General features: G+C 36.3%; 1 protein-coding gene and 1 long non-coding RNA gene across 32 annotated transcripts in view, besides 1 other annotated feature; one reads left to right on the top strand and one right to left on the bottom strand.

Moving 5' to 3' along the window:
* Nucleotides 1–25,323, top strand: part of RAP2C-AS1 (RAP2C antisense RNA 1) — a 214,305-nt gene that overhangs the window by 175,313 nt on the left and 13,669 nt on the right. The window lies entirely within an intron of this gene.
* The window catches only part of MBNL3 (muscleblind like splicing regulator 3), a 120,716-nt gene that overhangs the window by 24,500 nt on the left and 70,893 nt on the right, over nucleotides 1–25,323 (bottom strand). For 21 of the 31 annotated variants that reach the window (NM_001386918.1, NM_001386917.1, NM_001386915.1 and 18 more), the window contains one exon: nucleotides 12,409–12,573. The exons of 1 other annotated variant lie outside the window; for it this stretch is intronic. In NM_001386918.1, the coding sequence (NP_001373847.1) occupies nucleotides 12,409–12,462 (54 nt within the window). In that variant the 5' untranslated portion in view covers nucleotides 12,463–12,573. Of the gene's footprint in view, nucleotides 1–12,408; nucleotides 12,574–13,920; nucleotides 14,018–16,898; nucleotides 17,562–19,663; nucleotides 19,790–25,323 lie in introns of those variants that run through there. 9 more of the 31 variants (NM_001386912.1, NM_001386913.1, NM_001386907.1 and 6 more) reach the window with 5 other exon arrangements.
* Nucleotides 17,985–18,693: an enhancer, noted in NCBI's record as "OCT4-NANOG-H3K27ac hESC enhancer chrX:131545832-131546540 (GRCh37/hg19 assembly coordinates)". NCBI's record gives its function as "activates a minimal SCP1, AML or CMV promoter by ChIP-STARR-seq in primed H9 embryonic stem cells {active_cell/tissue: H9 hESC(primed)}" and the evidence as "EXISTENCE:reporter gene assay evidence [ECO:0000049][PMID:30033119]".

Below are 25,323 nucleotides of genomic sequence, written 5' to 3' on the forward strand. Positions count from 1 at the left end.
CTGTGCCCATACCTGCTAAGTCACATTAATAGAAACAAGTCTAAATACAAATTGTGGAATATAAAGTGAAGGGCAATGTATACTCATTGCCTCACCCCCACACAGACTTGAAATTGTCACCCACACAGCATTCCAAGAAGACTCTGTTATAAACCATATTCAGCTTAGAAGGAAGCACTCCCCCATTAGCATTCTACCTTAGATGAGTTTATCAAATTAGCTGATTGGGACATTAGGAAGGGCAGAAAGAATCTGGCACCAAAAAACTGGCAAGACTCACGAGGGTGAGTAGGAAAGACATGGTTGCCAAGAGCCTTAAGTGGAAAGGGAACGCCAGGTGCCAGGAAAGATGATGGTGTAGTCAGGAGAAGGACTCTAAAGTCTGGGGGCAAATAGCCAAGGGCTGACCCAGTCTAACTAGCTCTTATGATGTAATAGACTACAGGAATACGGGATACTTGTCATGGAATGAGATGTGAAGCTCAGGAACTAGCTGATGTGACATGATTTTATATAATGAGAAGGAAATCTTCTGGAAACAGCCACCCAGGCATGCTTCCGCAATAAGGCAGACTTTATCAATGTAATGATTCATAGTTGTCTCAAGATCACCAAGAATCTCTGATGAGAAAGAGTCCATTTTTGAAGCACACGATAGTGCTCTTCACTTGACTTTTCGTTGTCTCTGACTTTCCTGGTAAATTTCTCACTGAAGCCACCAGCCCATTCTCCTGCATACTTTTTGCTCTTGCCTTTTACAAAAATGAGCAGGACCATTATTGTATCTATTAATTTTTGAACTGAAAGAAAGACCTGGAGGTGGGTGAATTTTCCAGATTAAAAAGTTATTAATCACTAATAAATGCTGATCAATCAACAATATTGAAGCCTAATGTATTTGAAAGCAATGCTTTCTGTTTATGGTAGCTTTTTACTTCTGTAATTTTTTTCTTTTCTTTTTTGAGGTGACTCACCAGGGAAATTCTCCTAGCTAAGTTCTGCTTTCTTTGGAATACTTTTAAACTTTCTTAGGTTTGTTATATGCTCCAAGTGTATGGAAAAAAAGGCTATAAATTAATGATTGGTCTACATATAAAATGTAAAGGGCTTACTGAAAGTATTTAGATTTTTCTAAGGTTTCACCACAAACTATGCTATCTTTAGATCTTAAAATTAGTATCCTAGCTCTTATAACTATTTCCTCCTTGAGTATGAAATGCATTCTATAACACTGTTTATTGAGAAGAAGCAAGCTATCCCATTCTCAATACTGGGGCAGAGGCAGGAACTCCTGAGTGGCTTATTTATTTTCAGTTGGACATTTCTGTTTTCTCACCACCACCTCTGCCCCAGGGTAACTACTCCATTTCATGAATTTGAACATTCAAGGGCTTAGCGTTGACTAACAGCCATGGGTTAAGTCAAGCAGCCTGCAAGCTCAGAAGCTCAGCTTTAATAAGCAACTTTAATCCTGTCTCTATATATATCTCAGCCCTTGATGTCAGTTGAGCTAACATGAACCTATCTGTGGGTTAATTTTTATTGTAAAGGAAAAGGTTTTAACTATACTGACTCTGATTTATCTTTACAGCCTGAAATGGTCTGAACACTTAAATGTTTCAGATATTTAAATTCCAACCTAAATTATTTACTAAATACTTGAAAAGAGACGGCTGTCCCTCCCATAACCAGGTGTAAATTTTCATCTTTCTGAGTGTTGTCAACCAGCAAGAATGGTGGTGGCAACAGACTTTATGAATAAGATCACCTGACAACTATTTATCCCCATGTCTCTAGCAGTATTAGCTCCTACAGTAGAAATTCCCATGAGTTCCCAGTGACTTGCAGATTGCTTAGGAACTATCAGACACTCAGGAAATGTGTCCTAAAAATTAACGAAATATCTAGACAACACTGGCTCCTAATCTTTTTTGAGTCCAGGACTTCTCCAAGAGTCAGATAAAGGCTGCAGACTCTGTCCACAGAAAAATTCATGTATGCAAAAAATGTTGCTTGTGATCTCAGCAAGTTCAAGGACCCCACGACACTCACCCCTGGTGTGGGGTTATGAACTACTTACTGGTTAAGAATCTCTGTTCTAGAGTAAGGCTCTGCAAACTAGGGCCCATAAGCCAAATTCAGCCTGCCTGTGTTTTTGTATGGCCAGCAATCTAAGAATGTTTTTTACAGTTTTAAATGATTGAAAAAAATAAGAGAATAATATTTAGTGAAACATGAAAATTATAGGAAACTCTTATTCCAGTGTCCATCCACAAATTTCATTGTGCTCATTAGTAGAGCTGTATTACAAAAAATTGTAGATATTTGTTTCCTCTCTTGTTATATAAGTACCTATATAATACCCTCAACTTTGCATCTTGAACCTCACAGCCTAAAATATTTATATTTAGCCATTCACAAGAAAGTTCACCGACCTTGGTTCTAAATGATTTCAAAAAATGAAATTCTCCAACGCTTTCAGGAGTAAAGCACCAAATATATATTCATATATATTCATATATATTCATATATATATATTCCTATATATATTCATATATATTCATATATATATTCCTATATATATTCATATATATTCCTATATATATATTCCTATATATATTCATATATATTCCTATATATATATTCCTATATATATTCATATATATTCCTATATATATTCCTATATATATTCATATATATTCATATATATATTCATATATATATTCCTATATATTCCTATATATATTCCTATATATATTCCTATATATATTCCTATATATATTCCTATATATATTCATATATATATTCATATATATTCACATATATATATTCACATATATATTCACATATATATATTCATATATATATATTCATATATATATTCATATATATATTCATATATATTCATATATATATTCATATATATATATATTCATATATATATTCATATATACATATATATATTCATATATATATTCATATATATTCATATATACATATATATATTCATATATATATTCATATATACATATATATTCATATATATATTCATATATACATATATATTCATATATATATTCATATATACATATATACATATATATTCATATATACATTCATATATATATTCATATATATTCATATATATATGAATATATATGAATATATATGTATATGAATTTAGTATTTGTAGCAAGATTCCACAAATTGAAAATGTTTGGCTTTGTAAACCAATACTAAGGTATTCACTAAAATGTTCTTTTACATAGTTACTAATATTAGGATTAGGATTTTTAACTATTTGTTTATAGAACAATCACTACTCCGTGACTAAGAATGGGGAAATAGTAGTTGGAATCCTGTAAAGGTAAAAATTTTAAAAGCCACCACAGATTGCTCTTAAAGGATTCTGAGGCAATGCAATTCAATGCAAAACTATGCCTCAAATAAATGTCTAGTTTACACACACTTTAGGAACAGTGACTTAACAGGTTATTTCTCAAGCTAGTATAAATAAATGAAAATTAAATGTTATGCCAAATCAATCTTTGTGTCTCCTCAATAGCCTAGATCTATTTGTAGTTACCTCAAAAATATCCAAGATCAATTACAATTATTGTTGGATGAATGTAAAATATTTCAAAATCCTGGCCTAAGGTCAACAGAATAATCGGGGCCTTCCATCTCTGAGTTCCTGTCTAGAGTTGAATGACTAGATATTTTCTTTTACAGAAGGGTAAACATTTGGTAACAATTTGTTGACCCAATTTTAATACAAGAAAAATAGCACTCATAAATTTTACTAGCGTCATAATATCTTCATTTTATTGCTCATTTGCAAGCATTTATATAATATAAAAGGAAGGCTCTTTTTACGGTCATCATGCATATTTCTATCTTTAGATAATCCCAAAATGCACTGAAATCCATAATTTTAGTTTCCATCAGACTTCACTTTCACACAGAGTACAATTGAATAATCTCTCTTTCACAGTATTTGCTTGGTCATTTCCACACTCCTTGAGTAATGTTCCGTGGGGACTGAAGTGGCCAAAATGCAGGCTGCAGGAGACCCACATAACCTCCAGACTAGTTAATTAGTTTCTCAATAATTGAGAGTTAACTTTAAAAACAGATGCAAGCTGATAGTGGTGTTTAAGTACTAATCGTACTTGTTAATGAATAAGTCCCCATGGCTCTAGAGAGAGCTAAGAAAAAAAAAGTTCATGGGTCAAAAGTGAACCATTGTCCTCACCTAGACCTGGATTTTCTGATCTTATTAATCAGAGAATTCTCCAAGTAAGAGGAACCATTGAAGGCAGGCAGGTTAGTTGAAAGATCAATAGGTGATTGTGAGTATAAGAGGTATAAAGAATAACACAAATGAGAACACAAGTCATGGTTCAGAGCTACCCATATTTGCTGGGAGGAGAAATACAACAGCAGGCCAGGAATCATAAAGGAGTACCTAAACACAGATCAGCACATCACCTAGGAAGAGAGCAAATGATTGACACTTATAAGCAGGGTAACTTTGACATTGTTCCTGAGGAGGTGAACAGGAATTGACCTAAAAATTTGTTGGTGACCACCGTGTAATAATAATGGCAATTCAATTAACTTTAGTATTCTAGTAGGAAACAAAGATTATTTTTTAAAAAATCAAGTTTGTGGCATGGATTGTAGTAATAGTATCATGAGCATCTGTTTGTCTCCAAAGTCATCAATTTGTATACATTGAACATGTGCAGCTTTTGTGTGTCAATCATACCTCATTGAAGTAGTTCAAAGAATTAAGTGGTTATCTAGTTTTAACAAAGGGTATAAACAAAATGTGGGTTTTTGGGAGATAAATAGGAAGAACTGAGCAAAGCAAGGAACCCACAGGAAACCTGGAGACTATTTATGAACATGTCAGTGAAAGTTAGATAAATAGGTAGGCTAAGAGTTTAAAATTATCAAGGGTTTGACCAACCACAACCACCACCACCACCACCATCAAAACAACACAAACCAAAACAGAACCTTGCATGGCTAATAGAAAGATAATTCTATGTTGAAAAAAGAAAGGCCCAAAGCTACAAAAATATGAAGAATCAGGTACAAATCAGAAATTAAGGGGACCAGAAAATATTCATCCAACATCTTACTTTTGTTACATAACGAATTCCTAGAGGGTAGAGTTTGTTTCTTGATCATCTTTTTATCCACCCTTTACTCATTTAAATACCTGTCACAGAGTATATGCTCAATACTTACTGAATTCAATAAAAAGGGATTCCTAAACCATTAATTAATTTTTGATTTACTAAATAGATCAACCCAATTTAAAAATCAGAGTGCAAAAAGAAGTAAAAGTAGTTTCAAAAATGGTGGCAAAGAAATTGAATAAATCCTTCAGTCTTGTTCTCCACTGAGGAAGACTTTAGGCAGATGGCTAGTCCTAAGCTGTCTTTTGATAAAGATATGAATTGCTAGATCAAACAGTATGAAAAGCACAGGGTATTTTATACATACATATGTACATATGTACATACATGAATCCCATATGTGTATGTATTTTTAAAATTGGAGTGGCTAAATCCATACTAGAAGGTACCTAATTAAGAGTTCTAAAAAAAAGTGATTTAGTGATACTATAGATAAAAATATGTAACTTTATTACAAAGTGTATAAAAAGTAATTTTTTATACACTTTGTAATACACAAAGTAATTCACACCTTTTTATACACAAAGTAATTCACAATGTGTATAATCCAGGTGATTAATGAATTGCTAATGTGACTGGTATCCAGAGTGGTTCAAGAGAGAAGACCACGGAAAGAAGGGTGTAAATGAATATTTAACAGATGATTACAGGATATTAAGGCAAATTAGAAATGCTTGGGGGTACCACTTTAATTATCAGGTGGTAGGGCAGCCACAGGTTTTTATATAAGGTCTCCTCTCATTGACAAATTACTGAGCCATACCAACCTGCAGGTAAAAAAAAAAAAAAAAATTCACAGAGCCCACCAAACTCCCAGCCTTCACCTCATTTGTGATCAACAGCAAGCAATCTCAAGGTAGCTGGCTGTAGCTTACACTGTGACCACGAACAGTGAAGCTCACAGGCCACCATGGTCTCATTAGCACCAGGCTCCAACTAACTGAGCTAACCAGCCCCAGAGGAGAAGGACACAAAATAGAGGAGGTTACATGTAATTTATCTCACGGGAATATATAAAGGATGATAAAGGGAGAATGTTGAGATTTGTGACTATCAAAGAAACTGGACACTATAGAAGATATACCTAATGCTAAATGATGAGTTAATGGGTGCAGCACACCAGCATGGCACATGTATACATATGTAACTAACCTGCACATTGTGCACATGTACCCTAAAACTTAAAGTATAATAATAATAAAATAAAATAAAGAAGATATCATGTACAAGTGTCCTCTGTTTGGCTGCAAAAGTGTAGCATTTTCATTCAACTTTTGAAAAAAGCAGATTTCACAGTGTCTATTAACAGAGATGGGGCAAAGCAGCAAAGGGACTGCTAGGGGATTTATTTTGTTTTAACGTAAAAGAAGCTTTAAGCTATGTGACATACACAGTCTTATTAGCAAAAGGCCCGAATAACTACTCTACTTTGGACCAGTAATTGCAATGAGGAGCAAATCTAGGATATGTGGGGTCTGAAGCTTAGACCACTGGGTGGGGAAGTGGAGCCTTAAGAATGAAACACACGAATATATTTTGCAAATTTTACAAACACATTTTAAACACGTTGCTAGGACCCCTCTCAGGGTTTTGGAAGGAAACCATGCAAATGAGCATCCCTAAACCCCTCATGTTAGTCTCAGGGTAAGTACACCTTAAAAACAATGTTAGTTGAACAAACAGATTACAGTAGGCTTCAGTTGATATACCTAAAAGTAAAATTTTGTCTAATCTTTCAGAAAATGTAGTAAAATCCAGATGATCATGGCATGGTAGCACTCCAGGCACTTCTGTGATATGATTTGGTCAACCTCAATGCGGAAGTTCACATGATCATGACTGTTGTAATTATATTAAGAGCATATTAACCTTATAATTACATAATGCTTGTCTTTCCTAACTTGAAAATTTTGCAAAAATCATTTACAAAACATGTAATGTCACCACATCAAGATGAAAGAACTAAATGCCATCATTCATCATTACATGAGTAGGTGAACTGAAAAACCTGCTGCAGAACCTTCATTAAAATGTTATAATTTCTGTACTGACCATGAGACTGGTAATTTAGAATATGGACATAATTTTCTTTTCTATTAAACCTACATAATGTCTGGGTCACCTTTTAAAATAATAATTGTTAATAAAAGAGCCATGACAAAACTACTCTTTTTTATAGCATAAATATTTCAGTCAATAAACTAAATTTATGTGAACTAAAAAACTGTAAGTCTAATATGAATATTTGTCCTCTTGTTTTCAAGTACTATATCATTTAATGACTGACTTACAAAAATTAAAAAGTAGGCCAGGCATGCCAGCACTTTGGGAGGTCAAGGCAGGAGGATTGCTTGAGGCTGGGAAATCAGTACCAGACTGGGCAACATAGTGAGATCACATTTCTATTTCTATTCAAAAAATTTTTAAAAAACATTACTGTGCATGGTGATGTGCACCTGTAGTCCCAGCTACTCAGGAGGATGGGGCAGGATGATGACTTGACCCCACAAGTCTGCAGCTACATTGAGCTATGATCATGCCACTGCACTCCAGCCTGGTCCACAGAGTGATACCGTGTCTCAAAAAAAAAAAAAAATTAAAAAGTAAATAAATATTTTCCAATTTTATCTCCAGTCACTTAAAATTGTTCTAGTCCTAAGTTTATAAGTAATATAAACCCAAGTAATATAATACATTGTAGCCCTTTAGTAAAAGAGAAAAAAACAACATTAAAAACATGAGTCTAAAAATAATATTCATTAATTAGTATATCTCCCTTCCTCGTACCTATTTGAACTTTCTATTATTTTTTTTCTCTTGGTTCTGAAGCATTACATCACCTTCGTTCCTTACTATATTAATGTTAGATAAACATATAAGCCTGTTTATGAGAAATATATTTGGTAAACAGAATTATGAAAATGATGTAAAAAGGTGGAGAGGGATCCAGGCAGCTATCAGATGATTCAATTTGAGATAAAGGAAAACCTAGAGAGGAAGACTTGTTTATGGCCTTCATGGTTTGGAACTCGGTAACTTAGCCACAGGAATGCCAGCCATGAATAGCATACAACAGAACCTGAGGACTTGGCACATCCCAATGCAACCTCAAATGTGCTGAATCAACAATCTCTATATAAATAATCAAATGAATACACTCTACTGAGTCAAGTTCACCTGTGTGTCAGGATCTGTTTCCATGTGAATCACCACATTCAAAGAGAGAAACTAGGGGAATTTCCCAGGTTTTCCTTTAGTTTGGATATGGACAGGTGTAGATATGCAAAATGTCCAAATAAAACATTTTAACAGCCTGTAATATCATATTCACTTTATAAATACATACACCACATTCAGTAGGGAGAATCTTTCCTCATAACTAAAATTTCTAATTGTAAAACCAAAATTTTAAAACATTAGCTTTGCTTCAGGGTAATCCACTGTGCCTACTCTTTCTAATATTCTTCTACAGTGGTTGTATTTGCCTCATGATTATGGCAAGGGGATACTTCAACTTATACTTTTTTGCTGGGAACATCAGGAACAATCTCTCTTAAACTGCATTGAAAAATACTAGGGAGTCACACCTTTTGTTTCACCTGCTGAACTTCCTTAATAAAGCCAAAAAAAAGCTTTCAGAGATGGACTTTTATACTGGCAAATGTCAATTCAGACCTGTTTAATAGAGTGAACAAACTTGCCTGCTCCAGCAAGCATTCCACCCAAATTGACTAGGTGTGGCTTTTATTCATTGTTCAGTCACACTCAACAGAATCTGTTCTCTAGGTACCATCGCATTTAGGTTGACATTCCCTTTATCTAGGGGCTTATAATAAGCAAACCATATTCAATTCTGCAAAGGCAGATGTGCTCTTCTGGTATCCTAGAAACAGATCAAAGTATTCTTTGTGGAAAGACATGAAGTTCAAGCCAGTCATACAAATGGGTCTTAATATGCAACCTTACAAATATCAGGACTGGAAATTTCTTAAACAAAAGTATGACTATCTTAGAGACAAGAATCAGATTATTGGGTAGGGGTGATTAAAAGGGATAGAGAGTTGTTTGAGGGAGAGTAGGTACCAGAGAAATTAAGTAAAATCATATATTACTTCTGTAATAATATCAGGATCCACAATAAAGAAATTTTTTTTCCAAATCAGACTGGTAAATGTTACTTAAAATTGCTCACACTAGCTCAATTACACCATGTCTACAAAGTGGCTTCCTTAGACCATAGAAGAGGAACATATCAACCATCTCGGAGTTAGATTTTTGTACACATAATAACTGCAGGAATTAATCATTTATCGGCTCATCGCATCATAACAGCTATCATTAAATAATCTACAAGGTAGAGAAGCAATTTCCAATTGTTCCCTTGGGTCTTCTAAGTAATGCCTTGTATCTTGTAACATTCTATAAAATAAATTGTACTCCTGTGAATCATAGCAGTCATCTTCCGTCATCTGAAATCTGAAATTACCCTCATTGAAGAAAAGATAGGGAAACATATTCTAACATAGAAAGCATAGAGAATCAAATTAGAAAGCACAAGTGAAGAGGCTGGAAAGCACAATGGATTTCTTACTGGATTCTCAAAAAAGCTACTCCCTATTCTCCAGTGTGAGCCAGCACGATCAATAACACTTGAAGGGTTGAGACTTGGAATGGAGAGACTCTAGCAGAGGCTGAATAGAACGGCTTCCCTCTGTACCCCTACTTTACCCCACTTCTTGCTCTCTGATTCCCTGAAACAAGGCATTTCACTAGTACCCTGAAGCTATCCCTCGACCTTTGAAAAGATAAATGCTCCAGCTCTGTAGGAACCACTGGGCTCAGGTGTCTGATAATGAAATCTGCTTCCTATTCTTTGCTCAGTTTGAAATTGAGACATCCCATGAGAAGCTGAGAGTAATAATTGTGAGTTAAAATCTCCCTTGCTATACCTTTGACCAACATCTTCCCCCATCCCCTCCCACCCACATCCCCTGGCAACTACCCTTCTACTCTCTGTTTCTATGCATTCAGTTTTTTCAAGGTTCCACATATGAGTGAGATCATATAGTATTTGTTTTTTCTCTGTCTGGCTTATTTCACTTGACATAATGCCTGCCAGGTTCATCCATGTCATCTCATTTCACAATGTATACGTCTAACAAATCATCACACGCTGTACACTTTAAAATATACACAATTTTATTTATTAATTATACCTCAATAAAGCTGGGGGAAAAAATAGAAGCTGCCTTGCTTTATTCCCCACCCACTCACATTTTCTGGACTTACCAAGCACGATCACTTCTCTGTGGTTTTGTTCATAACAATTTTCAGTATCCAAAAGACTTTATCTTCCCTCTGCCCTTAGAAGTAGGGAGGGACTGAGATACGTCAGTATGTGAAAGCCCAGAAAAAGCGTTTGCGCAAGGAGTTCAACGATGTAAAGAATTACTGAGGGTCAAAGAGGAGCTTTGAGGAGTTCACCTTCTAGGAACTAATTTACCAACATAATTAATCTGAGTTCCAAGGCAAAACTTTTTGGTAAACTAATAGTACAGAACATGACATCTATTTATTTTACTTAAATCTGTCTAGACATTCTGGAAAAAGAGTATGGTGCAAACCTTTAGTGATTCATCATTGCCTCTCCCATCTGTTTTTGCATTTATCCATAAAGATGTACTCATTAAAGGGTTCCATATCAACACAGATATCCTTGAATTCTGAGAATTAACTTTATAATGAGATAGGCTTTACTGACAGCTGATTGTCCTCCCCCATTTTCATTGCATCTAAATACTATATACATATTTCAACTTTCAATATGTTCATTGTATCACTGATTAAATGGGTAACAAATAAAGGTAAAACAGGATTTTCAAATTTATCCTGTTAATAGTTTAAAGGAAGTAGGCCAGCTGGAATTAGAATGAGGCACCACTGAGCTAAATGTGAGGCCTGAAGAACTACAGCAGAAAAGGGACAGTTTTCAATTCTCCCTAAGAGGTGTAAAAGCAAAATGAAAGTTTATATTTTAAGGCATAGGGCAAGATGAATTTTCAATAGAACAATATGAACAGATATAGCTTAATTACTTTATAAAGGATCCATTTAAACTTGCAAGTCCAGAAAATAGTAGATATTAGTCTAGAATGACATAATCTTACTAATTTCTGCATAGGGAAACCCTGTAGCTAAGTTAAGGGAAAGCCACTATCAAGATCATGGGAAATTGGGAAAAACTGAGAAATGGTCACAGAGCAGAGAAGAGAGGGGAGGCAAAATTCAAATGAATGCACTGTGGTACCCTGAATCAGACACTGGAATAGAAAGATTACATTAATAGAAAACCTGGGGAAATCTGAATAAAGTCTGGAGTTTAGTTAATAATAATGATGTGTGATTCCAGTTTCTTGCTTTTGACAAATCTACCAGGGTAATATAAGATGTTAACAGTGGGGAGAACTGGGTGAAAGGTAATACAGGAACTCTTTGTACTATTAATACCTTTGTAACTTTTCTGTAAATCTAAAATTATTTCAAAATAAAACGTTTATTTAAAAGCAACAACAGGCCGGGCTCACGCCTGTAATTCCAGCACTTTGGGAGGCCGAGACAGGTGGATCACCTGAAGTCAGGCGTTTGAGACCAGCCTGGACATGGTGAAACTCCATGTCTACTAAAAATACACAAAAAAATTAGCTGGGCGTGATGGCGGGCACCTGTAATACCAGCTACTTGGGAGGCTGAGGCAGGAGAATTGCTTGAACTCGGGAGGCAGAAGTTGCAATGAGCCTAGATCGCACCATTGCACTCCAGCCTGGGCAACAAGAGTGAAACTCTGTCTCACCAAAAAAAAAAAAAAAAAAAAAAAGCAACAAAACCCCCATCAAAGAACAAGAAAATTTGTTTGAATTAATGTCCTAGAATTCAAAGGTTTCCATGTAATAATAATCAACTCTCCTTATCTTAAAATGCCCCTGCTCCTTTATCCATATTCTTTTATAAAGTGAACTCATGCAGCCAGGTTTTCAGTGCAACACACCTGACTGCTCTCTTCAAGTGCACAGCTCTGTAGTGTCAATGAACATATTAGTTTGTGTCCTAAATCCTGTTGCAACTAATTTCCCCAAGTCCCTGCCAGGTTATTCCACTGTTGATCTTTATCGGCAATTTTCAAAATATAGCTGCGACTTACAAGTGATGACATTTGAGCGTTTTGGAGCATAAGCTGCATCTGCTGGGCGAACATGGCTGCGGCAGTCTTCTGTTGAATCAGATTGTTCCGCCCATTAATCTCCAGCTGCGTTTTTAAGTGTGGAGGAGGGTGAAGGTACTTGCAGTTCTCTCGGGTACACCGACCCTGACAATGAAGAATAGGGAAAATATTAAATTAAAACTATACACAAATAGATAAATTTTGGACTCCATTATCTGGGGACAATCTAAGCTCCAAAACTCTTCATCTTGAATCCATATAAGGCGAGAAACACCCTGAAATTCACTGACAGTCTGTTAATGAAATAATAAATCCCTATGCCCGGCAGCCATTTTGTTCTTTAGGTTCCGGAGACAATGGCCCTAGATCACTTGCATGATGGAAACCAAAGTGTATTTTGGATCCTCAGCTAATTGAATGTTTTTTATTGATGTTAAGCACTTTCAAGACAGGACAGTATGTCAGTTCCGTGGAATCAAACATGCTTTTGGTGTCACCTAAATGTTGGCATGGCTGCTGATTATGGTTTACTATGTAGCAGCAAAGGATGTCACTGGACTAGTTGTTGGTCACATTGTCACAATGTGACCTATTACTGTGTTGAACTCATGAGCAGTATATAAAGAAGCTAACGATTCTCTCTTATTTGGATTACTAGGTCCACCATAAACCTTTTAAGAAAGCACAACTGCAAACAATTCTATTTTCCACAGATGCTAAGATTCTTTACAGTAGGTGAGGTTATTGGGGAAGGGGAAGGTGGGGAGCAAAAGGGCAACTTTGTTTTTGGACCAAAGAGTGCAAGCTGCTAGGCCACCTGAATTCCCGAGAGAAAAATGAGTTTGTTCACCAAGTGTTTTCATTCAACACATGCTATCTGCATTTTCCTTATTTATGATGCCTACACAGTTTATGCAATGGCTTCTCCATTGTTTAGTTATGTTGTTATTAAAATATTCCTATAATTTCACTGAGAATCAAGATGTGTCCTTCAAAACTTTTCTAGAGCTACATATAATGCAAACCCAGATGCATTGCAACGGCTCTTTTTAAATATTAGATCACTAGGGCAAGGTGGCTCTATTGTTTTACCTCCTCTGGCAAGAAGCTGAGTATAACTTTAAAGTCAGTGTGAGAAATTAAAAGACACATCATTGTTTTCTGTCGAGTTTGTCTTTTTGTTTTTCCCATTGCTCAATTTACATTTAATTAAATTAAAGTGATTTACAAAATCAAATACTATCTTAGTTTTATGTACTTTTATATTTCTATGCAAACCTTGGAGAAAGAATAATTTATTGGTAGTATGAGTTAAGAATCACGTTAACCTAATCCTCCTAAATTCTTAAAAGTAGCCTAGGAATAGCTACGCAATTTCAACATATATAATGAGTGTAAGCAGACCCCTGTGTGTGCTAAATCACAATAATTGGGGTCTTTTCCCCATAAATGTACCCCTAAGAGAGACCATAAGCTTCTTTTTACACCCACCAATGTGAAGCAAGGCAGAAAGTCACAAGGATCTTCAGTTCCTAGATTCTCCACTCTCCATCTACATAACTGAGGTGATCTGGCTCAGAATTAACAGCTGATGGAGGGAGTGGCACTTGGTGACTTCCACAGCCAAGCATGCTAGTTTATACTTCTACTTCAGGGTTTCTCTTCCTCCTCCCACACCCTAACATTAAAGATTTCCCCAAGGCCCTGTTCTAAATCCTCTTGCTCTCCTCTCTAATCTCTTTTCCCTGGAGAGACTAAGTTGTTTCAAAGTTCCATCTATTTGTACAATTGCTCGGATCTTAAATCTCTATCTCTACCCCTGACCTCTCTTCTGAATTTCAGTCTTTTTTTTTTTTTTTTTTTTTTTTTTTTTTTTTTTTTTTTTTTTTTTTTTTTTACCAATTGCAGCTGCATTTGGAGACCCTGCTGCCTAACCAGGTCTAAATAACTTATTACTGACCTTCCTTCTCATTTGACTATTTTTCATCTTACTGCATACTCCCAGTTAGGGCCACCACTCTAATTCCTATGCTTTGGGGTAGTTAGACAGCAGTAGTGGGGAAAATAAATTATGCAGCTCAGCAGCATTGCTTAAGGATTGCAGAGCCACCTAGATAGCTTGTTTAGACAATTAGCATACACAAGCGTGGAACACAATTTTTAACTCCAAAACAACTATATAATGAAGACTGTCTTTCATATTCAGGAATTCCAGACATTAGATAAGTTAAAAAAAGAAAAAAGAATAATTGGAATTTCACCATTTGTTACAATTGAGTTTTAATATCATCTACATTGAATGTAATCAGAGAGAGAAGAAGAAAGGGAGGGAGAGAACACACTGTATTTGGCACATTTCCTGCCAATATACAGATAAAGAAGTGAACATGCCTTTGTGCTTTTATATCACTATCCTTTACATAAAGTAACTTATCTTAAGCTTTTTCTTGGGAAATAATGACAGTTTAGCAGAGCAAAAACAGTACACAGAAATAGAAAAAAAGAGAATTACACTTTAAAAAATTATATCAAGTTGGGCTATAAAACTAAAGTATGGAATATGAGGCAGCATGAGACTTAAAGAAACTTATTCATCTTAGTTATGAGATTTTACTTGATTTATAAAGCTTCTATTTTGAATGACCGAATCCATAATTTAATTCTATAACAATGCAAATGCATAGCAACACCATCTTACCAGAGACTGCTGCTTATGTTCCAGAAAGCTTATAAAATAAAATAAAAATCTGTATTCTCTATCCAAACAATAGATGAGGAGACCAAGTAATTTAACATCTATATTATCCGTGCAATACAACATTTCAAAAGAAAACTATGCCCCTGTTTTTTCAAAACGACTTTAGAACTCAGGATAATATATTTGTACACACAACACTTGGTGATAATAAATCTCCTCTACATAGCGTTCATTCTTCAAGAGGCCCAAACGTAATTATAGGCCAAAATACTTTAATTGGTGTTTGGGAGAGAACAAACTTGTTTTTTTTACATCTGTTAACACTTGTTTTTTAATCCTTGTATAGAATTAAGGCTTTGGTAAAGCATGTAAGGTTGGGATAGAGTGGGGATTAGGGAGGGACTGTCCCAGTGGAGTAGGTAATCATCTATTGTTTTTGTCCTTTGGAAAATCAATGACTCTGTACTAGGAAGGTTCCAATGATTTCTGTAGGCCACCTAAGCACTCTGAGTGGGCCACAAGGTACCCTATCACATTGGGTCTATAACAGTTTGGTGTGATAGCCCAGCAGCCATCTTGGCTCTGAAAAATCACCCTTCATGTTTCCCTAGCCAAGTCAATGGTGTCCCAAGCCCTCCTTCTTCCAATCTAGACCCACAGGTTCAGAGTTGGCTCACACTAGTGCAAAGTATCAGAGCATGCCTTAAACGACTCTGTAAACGTACCTACAACAGTCGCCATCCTCTGGCAGAGCAGGCTACGTACTAAAATCAGCAGCTAAGGGGAGTCAAGACATGAAAATCAACTCTCTCTCTCTCCCCCTCCCATATACACTCAAAATTAAAGAAACGTTGAAGCGATTAGAGTGCAAGCTCATTTATGCTTGCCTCAATTTCCCTCCTTTTCCATTTCCTTTTGGACTTAAAAAACATGTCATTCTCATCTGGTCTTTCACTGTGTTACTGAGTTAAGAAAATAGCAAAGTGATTCAATAGGAAAGCGATTCTCTGCTGAAATAAGTGCTACTACACCTATGAATCATATGAATCTTCCAGCTCCCCTTTCCCATCGACTGTCTTTGAAAAATGCACTCAAAAAGCAGCAAGCAGGGGGAGAAAATAGCCGATGACATTTCTGAAGTACATCTGCATCAAGAAGTTGATGACAGACAAAGGGATACATTGCAGAACATTTATAAAGCCTCCCAAATTCAATCTATTGCCTTCTTCCTACCTTCAGGCTTCTCCCAAATGAATACAAAGCCTTTAACTAAGAGAGAAAAGTCTCATTGTAGAGATTCAAATCCCACCTATGTCTAGAGAGTTATGAGAGTCAGAGTCTGTCACAAGACTTCCCATGCACTGGGTGGTAGAAAAACCCTGTGAAATGTACTTCATGTTCATGAGAAAAAGCCCTACCATACATCAGAATAAGAAAAGGAACCTGGGAGGCTGCAAATTACCCTTTGTCAGCCACAGTATCTTAAGAGAAACAGCTGTTTGCAGAATGACTTGCTTCTTCAAATACATACAGAGTTAGAGAGAAAAAAAAAATCCTAAATATGTTCTCTCAAATACAATTATAACTGGATTACTTTTCAAATACATAATCTCACTGATCTGCTAGACTGCCAACAGTTAAAAGTTAAATGTTAAATCAAGGCACCCAAGAGATGATTTGTTCTATGAAGAAAAATGTTGTTATTCCATTTTAATCATAATGGATTAAATGAAATAATTCTGATGATAGTGCCCCACTGTAACATACTTACATGCACAGACATGGCTTCTCAGAGGAAGTAACAGTGATTTCAGAATTACAAATCATATGTACCAGTTTGGCTAGTTCCTGCAAGCATCACAGATTTATTAAAGCTAGGAAAAACCTGAGTCAAGATCAACATACAACGAGTTATTAGCCAGATATCGGCATTCTACTGGCAAATTTCCCACTTTCTTCCTCTTAGAATTCTGTCTTTACAAAAATGGATAATCTGCATCATTTTCTCCTCCAAATATTGTATCATCTATAAATATTGATATAGATGCACAAAGAGCAGCCTTAAAATTCTGCATACAACTTTTAAGTTAAATGTGAGATGCAGGCAAGAAATTTAGAGGGAAAAGTCTTTAATAAACCATTTCTTAAATATAATGAAGGCAAAATTAATGAGGCTGAACGTTGACCCCCATGGAGAGGGCCAGCCAAGTACCCCCCACCATTGCAGCCAGCACTGTACCCACCTTCTTCATGCTGTCCCAACTCTGTTTTCTTGACACATCCCATACACACATACACAGGGCAATGACTTTGGCGCAAACCAGATAACAAGTTTGAATAGGCGAGAAGCTGGGGTGAGAGCAGAAGAATTTTCTTGCCTATCTGTCTCCAGAGAACTTTTACATTTTGATCTCCCAATGACAAAGGGAGTACTGGGCTCAACAATCACACTTTTGTTCTGAAATAGCCCACTAAGATAACTTGATTCCCAGGATGGAAACAGTTTAGGGCTGAATCGGATTGTAGGGAACATCTTGTGCACCTTTATCTTACAGAGAATGTGAAGGCCAAAGGGGTGGGGTGACTTGTCCTAATTCATAAGCAGCTCAGTAAGCACACAAGCCAAGTTTCCAGACTTTCACTACCCAATATGGATTCTCAGTTCAAATCACTTTTCCTCTGTAAAGATTTTCCTGGAACCGTCTCCCCATTCCTGTCCCCATTTATCTCTCCCTCCTTTGTGCTTCCAACTGCACCTTGTACTCAGTTTTATCGTAGCTCTTATCGCTGTGTACATCGATAAATTGTTTGCATGCTTGTCTCCTCTATTAGACTTTGAGCCTGTATAACGGCAGAACTACATCTTCCTCCACTTTCAATCTCCAGGGATGTGTGTGTGCCTGATGAATAGCCGCCCTGCCATACACGTTTGTTGAAGTTTGTGAGAATAATTTTATAGGGCATAACACTAAGTCTACCTTAGAAACCTAAGTGCTTCTCTTGCTATTTTCTTTCATAAGTTCTTTCTTCTCCCTCCAAGAAGAGAACAATAGTCAACACATGACTGAGGCTGCCCCTGGTTGTCTGTTCCAAATGAACCGTTATTCTATTCAGGTCCAGAAAATAGCTAGTTCCTAACTTTTTTTTTTCCTATGAATATAGACCCTGAGGAATATGTGACCATTACGGCTGAAACATCCTGGTAATTTAGTATAACTTAACCAGAAGTGACATGAATCCATGAGACCCAGAGACAGAAACTCTGGTCTGATTCCAAGGGGTCTCTGGCCACAAAGGCCCTCAGGATATAGGGCCCCACCGGACGAATAAAGGAGCCAGCAGCAGATCCATATCTAATCAGCACCTGGGCCTGCCCAGGAGGGCCCTGCATTTCCAGGGTCAGTTTAGAAAAAAACTGCGTTCTCCAACTGCCCCACCCCCCATCCTGAATTTCTCTGAACAAGCCGCAAGTCAAATTCCCTGAAGCTACTAAGACAAAGGTGGCTTTAGGAAAATCACAGCAGGTGGGGCCTTCTTGTGGCTCTCTAATGCATATGCCTTCTTACAAGAAAAATGTTTGCGGCTTTCCTTCATGACCCACGCTTAGCTTTGTTTACGTTAAACATTTATTTTCAAATGATCATGAGCTTGATCTTTTTCTTAGAAATTTTTTGAACAGCAAATAACACTAAAAATCCCAGAAGTTGTTCACAGTGAAAGCAAGCCTGCCTCACTAATAACCCAAATCTACTTCCTGCCCTATTCCACCCCACTTACACACTTTTTACCTCGGTTCTCATCGAATACCGTACATCACTGTAGAAAAATATTAACTGAATGACTGGTCAATTATAAGCTCTTCAAAAATGCATCATCTATTTACAAACCAGCCAACCAGAATAAAATTAAAACCCAAACACAACGAAGCACATTGGTACCAAGTTATCAAAAGTCAGAAGGCATTCCTCATGCAAAGTATTACTAGACGCTGTCTTTAGAGCAGCTGATAGCTGCCAACATAAAATGTCATCAAGAATGGAAAAAAAGGGAGAGAAAAAGTAATGGTACTGAATTTGTTACTCTAAGAAATAAAACACACAGAAAATCATATAACTTCAAAAAGCTCCTTCTACATGGACTTCATTAAGAAAGAACATAAGGAGGTGTTTCTCTCTGACCCATTAGTCAAATCTCCTGCTCCTAGGCTTCTTTACCTCCTTTTTCTGGACACCCCATCCACTCACTTGCCACAACGATTTAGAAGCCAGGACAAAGAGGGTACCAGCTGCTTGCCCCCTTTATTCCCCAGCTAGGGCTTCTGCTTAGGATCCTCTCTAGAGATGCCAGGTTTATCAAATAAATATGCAGGACTCCCAGGTAAATTTGAATTTCAGATAAACAGTGAAAAAAAATTTTTTAGTATAAGTATGCCCCATACAATATGTTATCTGGCAGCCCTCTCCCGCTCTGTTCTTCTGCCTTGATAAGTTGAGCTCAATAAAGGCAAATCCTTGAAAACCCATTTTACCTCTTTACCTTAAGATTCTTAGAAGCCCTCTCCATGGAATCAGCCCAGGCTCTCCCAGGCCTTCATTTGCCCAGAGTAAAGTAGAAGACACTCTCAGCCCCAGCTTACCTGATCAGCTGCAAGGAAATTTAAGGAAGTTGACTGTTGGAGACAGCAATTTTTGATCCATAGCTCCTCCCACCAAAAGCTTCACACGGCTCGCTACCCTGGCAGCCACTCCACCTTCCCACCCACCGGTGGCGCAACAGTATATTTAAATACCCTCGATGTCTGCTGGAGCTCCCCCTTTAGGCTAGGATGAAGAGGGGGATGGTGTGTGACCAATACCTGCCTAAACCCGTAACTCCGAATTTACAGAACAGATTTTTGAGTATATGAGGTGTTACATAAAGATGAGGCTTTTAAGTTTTTTAAGGTTTTTATTTATGTGTGCAGAGGTGAGGGGTGGTTAATCTTTTCTTTTTTTCCTTCAGCCCTGTCTTTGGAATACTCAAATTCGAGTAAAAGTCAATCATTAAAGTGCAGGGAAATAACTACTTAGCACATGTTTCTATATGCACACATAAGCGCTATAAAGGTACAGATTCACAGCATGCAGATGAATAGCCATTATTTGCATAGATATCTTTTTCAGTCAATCCCTGATTACTCACATTAAAAGAGAGCACAAAGTAGAGAGGTATGGCTAATTCTAATGAACCAAATAATATATTCGAGAAAAATGGCAATCCACAATAGCCTCACATTACAATTGTGAACATTTAAGCAATTGCTAGACACAGTCCTAAATTTATTTTTTCATTAAGAATGCAGACTCTTTCATTGGAATGATCAAAGATTAAGAATTAGTAAGGTCAGAAATAGTAAAATTGTACTGCTCTGGGGAAGTTTATATGTTTATGGGCATATCATAGAAAGATCAAATAGTAAAGCTGGAAAGGCTCTTAGAGATCATTTAGTCCAGCATTTGCCAGAGTGTGTACCACAGACAACTAATCCCAAGAGAGGAACCTCAAAAGCTGGGTTCACTGGTCAATCGGGTATAAGAAATGTCACTTTATATTCCTCTCTTGTAGGCTGACAATACACAAGAGTATGATAAAGGCTCTCACATGTCCTAAAGTAAAGAAACCTGGTTACCTTTGTTAACCCAGCATTTCCCAACATTGTTTAACTCACAAACCATCCCCCCTTTTTTCATCATATTCCCGTTAACATCTCTCTTTAGTACACCCTTAGGAAAATACTGATCTAATCCAACTTCCTCATTCTATAGGTAAAGAAACTAAAGCTTCAACCAAGTTGTATGGTGTTTTACAGGTCAAGTTTTCCTTAGTATTTTCATTTTGATTTCTCTTAAATAGAAAAATAGAGTGAACTCCCCAAAAATGGCTCTTCTGTTGAAATGCCATTTTTGCCCATCCCTGATCTCCCAAAAGCTAACAAGATGGATATTTTCCTATGATTGCAAAGTAACATCCCACAATCACCTTCCCAACACCCCTTTTCAAAGCTGTAAGTTTCGTCAGATCTTTCCAAATGGTTGCCGTGGCTTTCTTCTTTCATTTGAAGGCTTTAGTCAAGGAACTTCTGAAATAAGAACGTCAAGCCTTCTCTGCCTAACTGGCTTTCCTACATTGTGACTTCTGCCCCTTGAAACCATGCTAATTATTTTAGGCTTTCCATGACTTAAGGGTCTCAAGTGAGTTTTCGCTGTACTGAAACCTGGGAAGTCAGAAGGTATTGGGCAATCTCCTCAATTCCAAATGGTTTTAGTTTTGCACTAACCTTAAACCTTGGGGTTTCCACTTGGTAAAATTAAATTTCCTGTCTCTAAGTAAAATGAAAAGTTTCAAAGAAGAATTTAATTTGCAAAAATATCTTACAAATGTATATGAAGAGTATAAGGTGAGAAAGGCACTGATTATTGTTCAGATTTAAACAATTTATCTTTGCAGGGCTCAGTGTGCTGCTCAGAATAAATTAAATAATTATGTCTTTATAACCAGCCACATATCTCTCCACTCAAACTTTATATAAAGGGTAGATATGGCTATTGATTTACCTCTGCATTTTGAAATTAGCGGTACAAAGATGAAAATCAGTTCCTCTTTTGTTAAACATGAATCTTCTTTCAGATAAAGAAATGTAAAACATTGTACCAAAATGATTGTTTACAGGGTGAATTAATCAGTGTGAAATTATGTTTCAATCCCCCAATGAGGTCAAATGTCTCCACTTCAGAATAAGCATTTTCCTCACACTCCTACCCTACTACCAACCTAACACCAAAAATGGAATTTCCATGCAGAAAGTTTTTACTTGGTGACATGGACTGCCATTAAAATACTTTTGAGGCATGGACTAAGTTTATATTTTGTTAGGGAAAATATACATTTCATCACCAAAAGTTCTATTGAAACCTTTGTGCTAACTTGTTATTAAAATTGTAGGAAAGTAGGCAACTGTTGGTAAGAATGTAAATTAGCACAGCCACTATATATATAAAAAAAAAACAGTATGGAGGTTCTCCAAAAAACTAAAAATAGAACTATGATATGATCCAGCAATCCCACTGCTGGGTATCTATCCTAAAGGAAAACAGTATTTCAAAGAGATGCACCCCTGTGTTTATTACAGCATTATTCACAATGGCCGAGATATGGAATCAATTTAAGTTTCCATCAATGGAAGAATGGATAAAGAACATGTGGTACATATACACAATTGAATATTATTCAACCATAAAGAAGAACAAAATTCTGTCATTTGCAACAGCATGATTGGAAGTGGAGAACATTATGTTAAGTGAAATACGCCAGGCACAGAAAGATCAATACTGCACGTTTCTCACTAATATGCGAGAGCTAAAACAAAACAAAACAAAACAAAACAAAACAAAAAACCCACTCAACTCATGGAGATAGAGAGTGGAATGATCATTGCCAGAGGCTAGAAAGGGTAGTGAGAAGGGGTTTATAAAGAGGGGATGGTTAATGGGTACAAAATACAATTACGTAGAAGGAATAAGGTCTAGTATTCAGTAGCACAATAGGGTGACTATAGTTAATAACAATTTATTGTATATTTTAAAATAACTAAAAGAGTAGGATTGGAATGTTCCTAACACGAAGAAATGATAAAGGTTTGAGGTGATAGATATCCCAATTACCCTGATTTGATCATTACACATTGTATGCCTGTATCAAAATATCACATGTATCCCACAAATATGCACAACTGTTATGTTCCCATAATAATTATCAATTACAAATAAAATATAATTGTATGTAATTTAGAGTATCAGGCATATGCCCAGGGAAAATTCCAAACTCTAAATGTATCGTGTATTTAAGTGGCATTTTTAGCCAAGTGATTCTTTTAAAAAGCATCTGAAAATTAGGCCAACTTACTGTTTGTTTTTGTTCTACAGACATGAAAACAAGGTATTGATACAAATGCTTTCTCTTCTAAAAATAAAGATCTATTCTGCCTGGCCTGAATATCTACCAAGTATGTTAAGTTTCATCCAAAATGTAACTTTCATTTTGGGATGAAATGTTTCAGATATGCGAACACAATTGACAAAGCTCTAATGAAACTGCTGAGATTACTGTAAAATATTTATTTTTCTTTCTCTCTCTCTCTCTTTCATATATGTGTGTGTCTTAAAATGTTCCTCTCCCAGTCTAATTTAGTAAATACTGCAACCTTAATTAAGCTCAGCTTCTGCTTCCAGTGAGCAGTTAATATTTAATGATGATGAAACTGTTCCCAATATTTAAAGAACTAAACAAGGCCCTCCACAAACAATGTAACTAGAAATGGGGTTAAAGAAAATAGTGATAAAGGGAGGCTTTTTGCTTTAAAATAAATCAATGCCTCAACCATAAATGTCTCATGGCCTTACAGAGAAGAAGTTGAAATATGACCACTGCCAAAGGATGCATATCTCCACACCCAAAACAAGAAAAAAATAAAGCAAAGAACAGAGAGTTAATTAGTTAGCTTCAAAATCTATGAACTGTACTCCCTTAGTCAATTTAAACAGCTGGAACAAGACTTATTAGAAGAGCAGTACATGTCTAAGGATGTAGTGTTCATTAAAAATGTGCATCCTTTCTATTAAGCACGAAAAGATTTCTGGGGTCATTCAGGCCATGGTGATATTCTAGTCAGTGCCTTTTAATTAGCGGAATCCTTATTTTGGTGAAGAAAAATAAATAAAATAAATCTACTCTAGCTCCATTGTGCTTTCCCTCAAAATCAAGATAAAATTAGAAAACTTCAGAAAACATCTTTCTGAAAAAAAAATAAGTCAGTTTATGTCTGTTATATAAGGTAAATCAAATTCCATTCTCAAAGATTTTGACAAAGTGGATAGAGCGAAAGAAACTAGGTAGTGTAAAACATCAGTGTGCTAATCTTTTACACTCATTTTTCTACTAAAGATAACTAGACTATTAATTTGGTTTTACATTGTTTCATGTATTGCATTGACTTGGTATACTAGACTCTTGCATATAAGGTCAAATGATCCTTTTCATGTTAACTAATTCAGATCACTTATGAATAAGCTGCAGATATTGTATATACAGCTTTAGCTCATGTTACTTGGCATGAGACAATTGTTGATACACATTTAGACACCAGGTTGAGGCCCCTGTAAAATTATATTTTCTATTAATATCATGAAAGTAGTCATAAAACATAAACTAATTTTAAAAACAAAACTAGTCATAGAAACAAAACTAATTTGAGAGATTTTTTAGAATACTGTAAACTGGTTTCCATTTTTTCACACCATGTCCACCTTAATATTAATGGCTAACTTTGTTGTGGATTTACCACGTGCCAGGCATTGTTCAAAGTGCTTTATATGCATTAACTCATTTAATCTTCACAATTGAGGAAACGGGGGCACTGAGAAGTGAAGACGCATGCCCAAGCTGACATAACTAATAAGTAGCAGAGCTGGGATTTGAACCTACGTGCTCTGTGTCCAGAGCTCATACTCAATCAAGATACTGTGCTTCATAATACTGTGATAGTTCTAAATAGAGGAATGAGCTGGTTCAAATATTTATACTGTCTGGGCCACACTTTCCCTCTAAGATTATAACAAAGACTGCATATCAACTGGCTGTTAGGTATGTCCAGACACTAGTTACTAGCACAATTTTATGGCAAATTTATTTTGTTCAAAACCCAGGGATTTTGGATGGCTTGAGAATGAATAAGACAAGGCAATTGAATGTGTCAAGGCAATTGAATGTGTTTGTTTTTGTTTGTTTGTTTGGTTTTGTTTTGTTTTTTAAGATAGAGTCTCACTCTGTTGCCCAGGCTGGAGTGCAGTGGCACCATCACAGCTCATTGTAACCTCAACTTCCCCAGGCTGAGGTAATCCTCCCACCTCAGCGTCCCGAGTAGCTGGGACTACAGGTGCACACCACCATGCCCAGCTAATTTTTGTATTTTTTGTAACGATGGGGTTTCCCCGTGTTGCACAGGATGGTCTAGAACTCCTGGGCTCAAGCGATCCACCTGCCTCAGCCTCCCAAAGTGCTAGGGATTATAGGTGAGGGCCACTGTACCTGGCCCTAGGTAACCAAATGTTAGAAATAGCCTTCCATAATTCCTGAAGCAGAACAATTAGCATAAACATGTT

Source organism: Homo sapiens, chromosome X, assembly GCF_000001405.40.
Source record: "Homo sapiens chromosome X, GRCh38.p14 Primary Assembly".
In the NCBI taxonomy this organism is placed as follows: domain Eukaryota; kingdom Metazoa; phylum Chordata; class Mammalia; order Primates; family Hominidae; genus Homo; species Homo sapiens.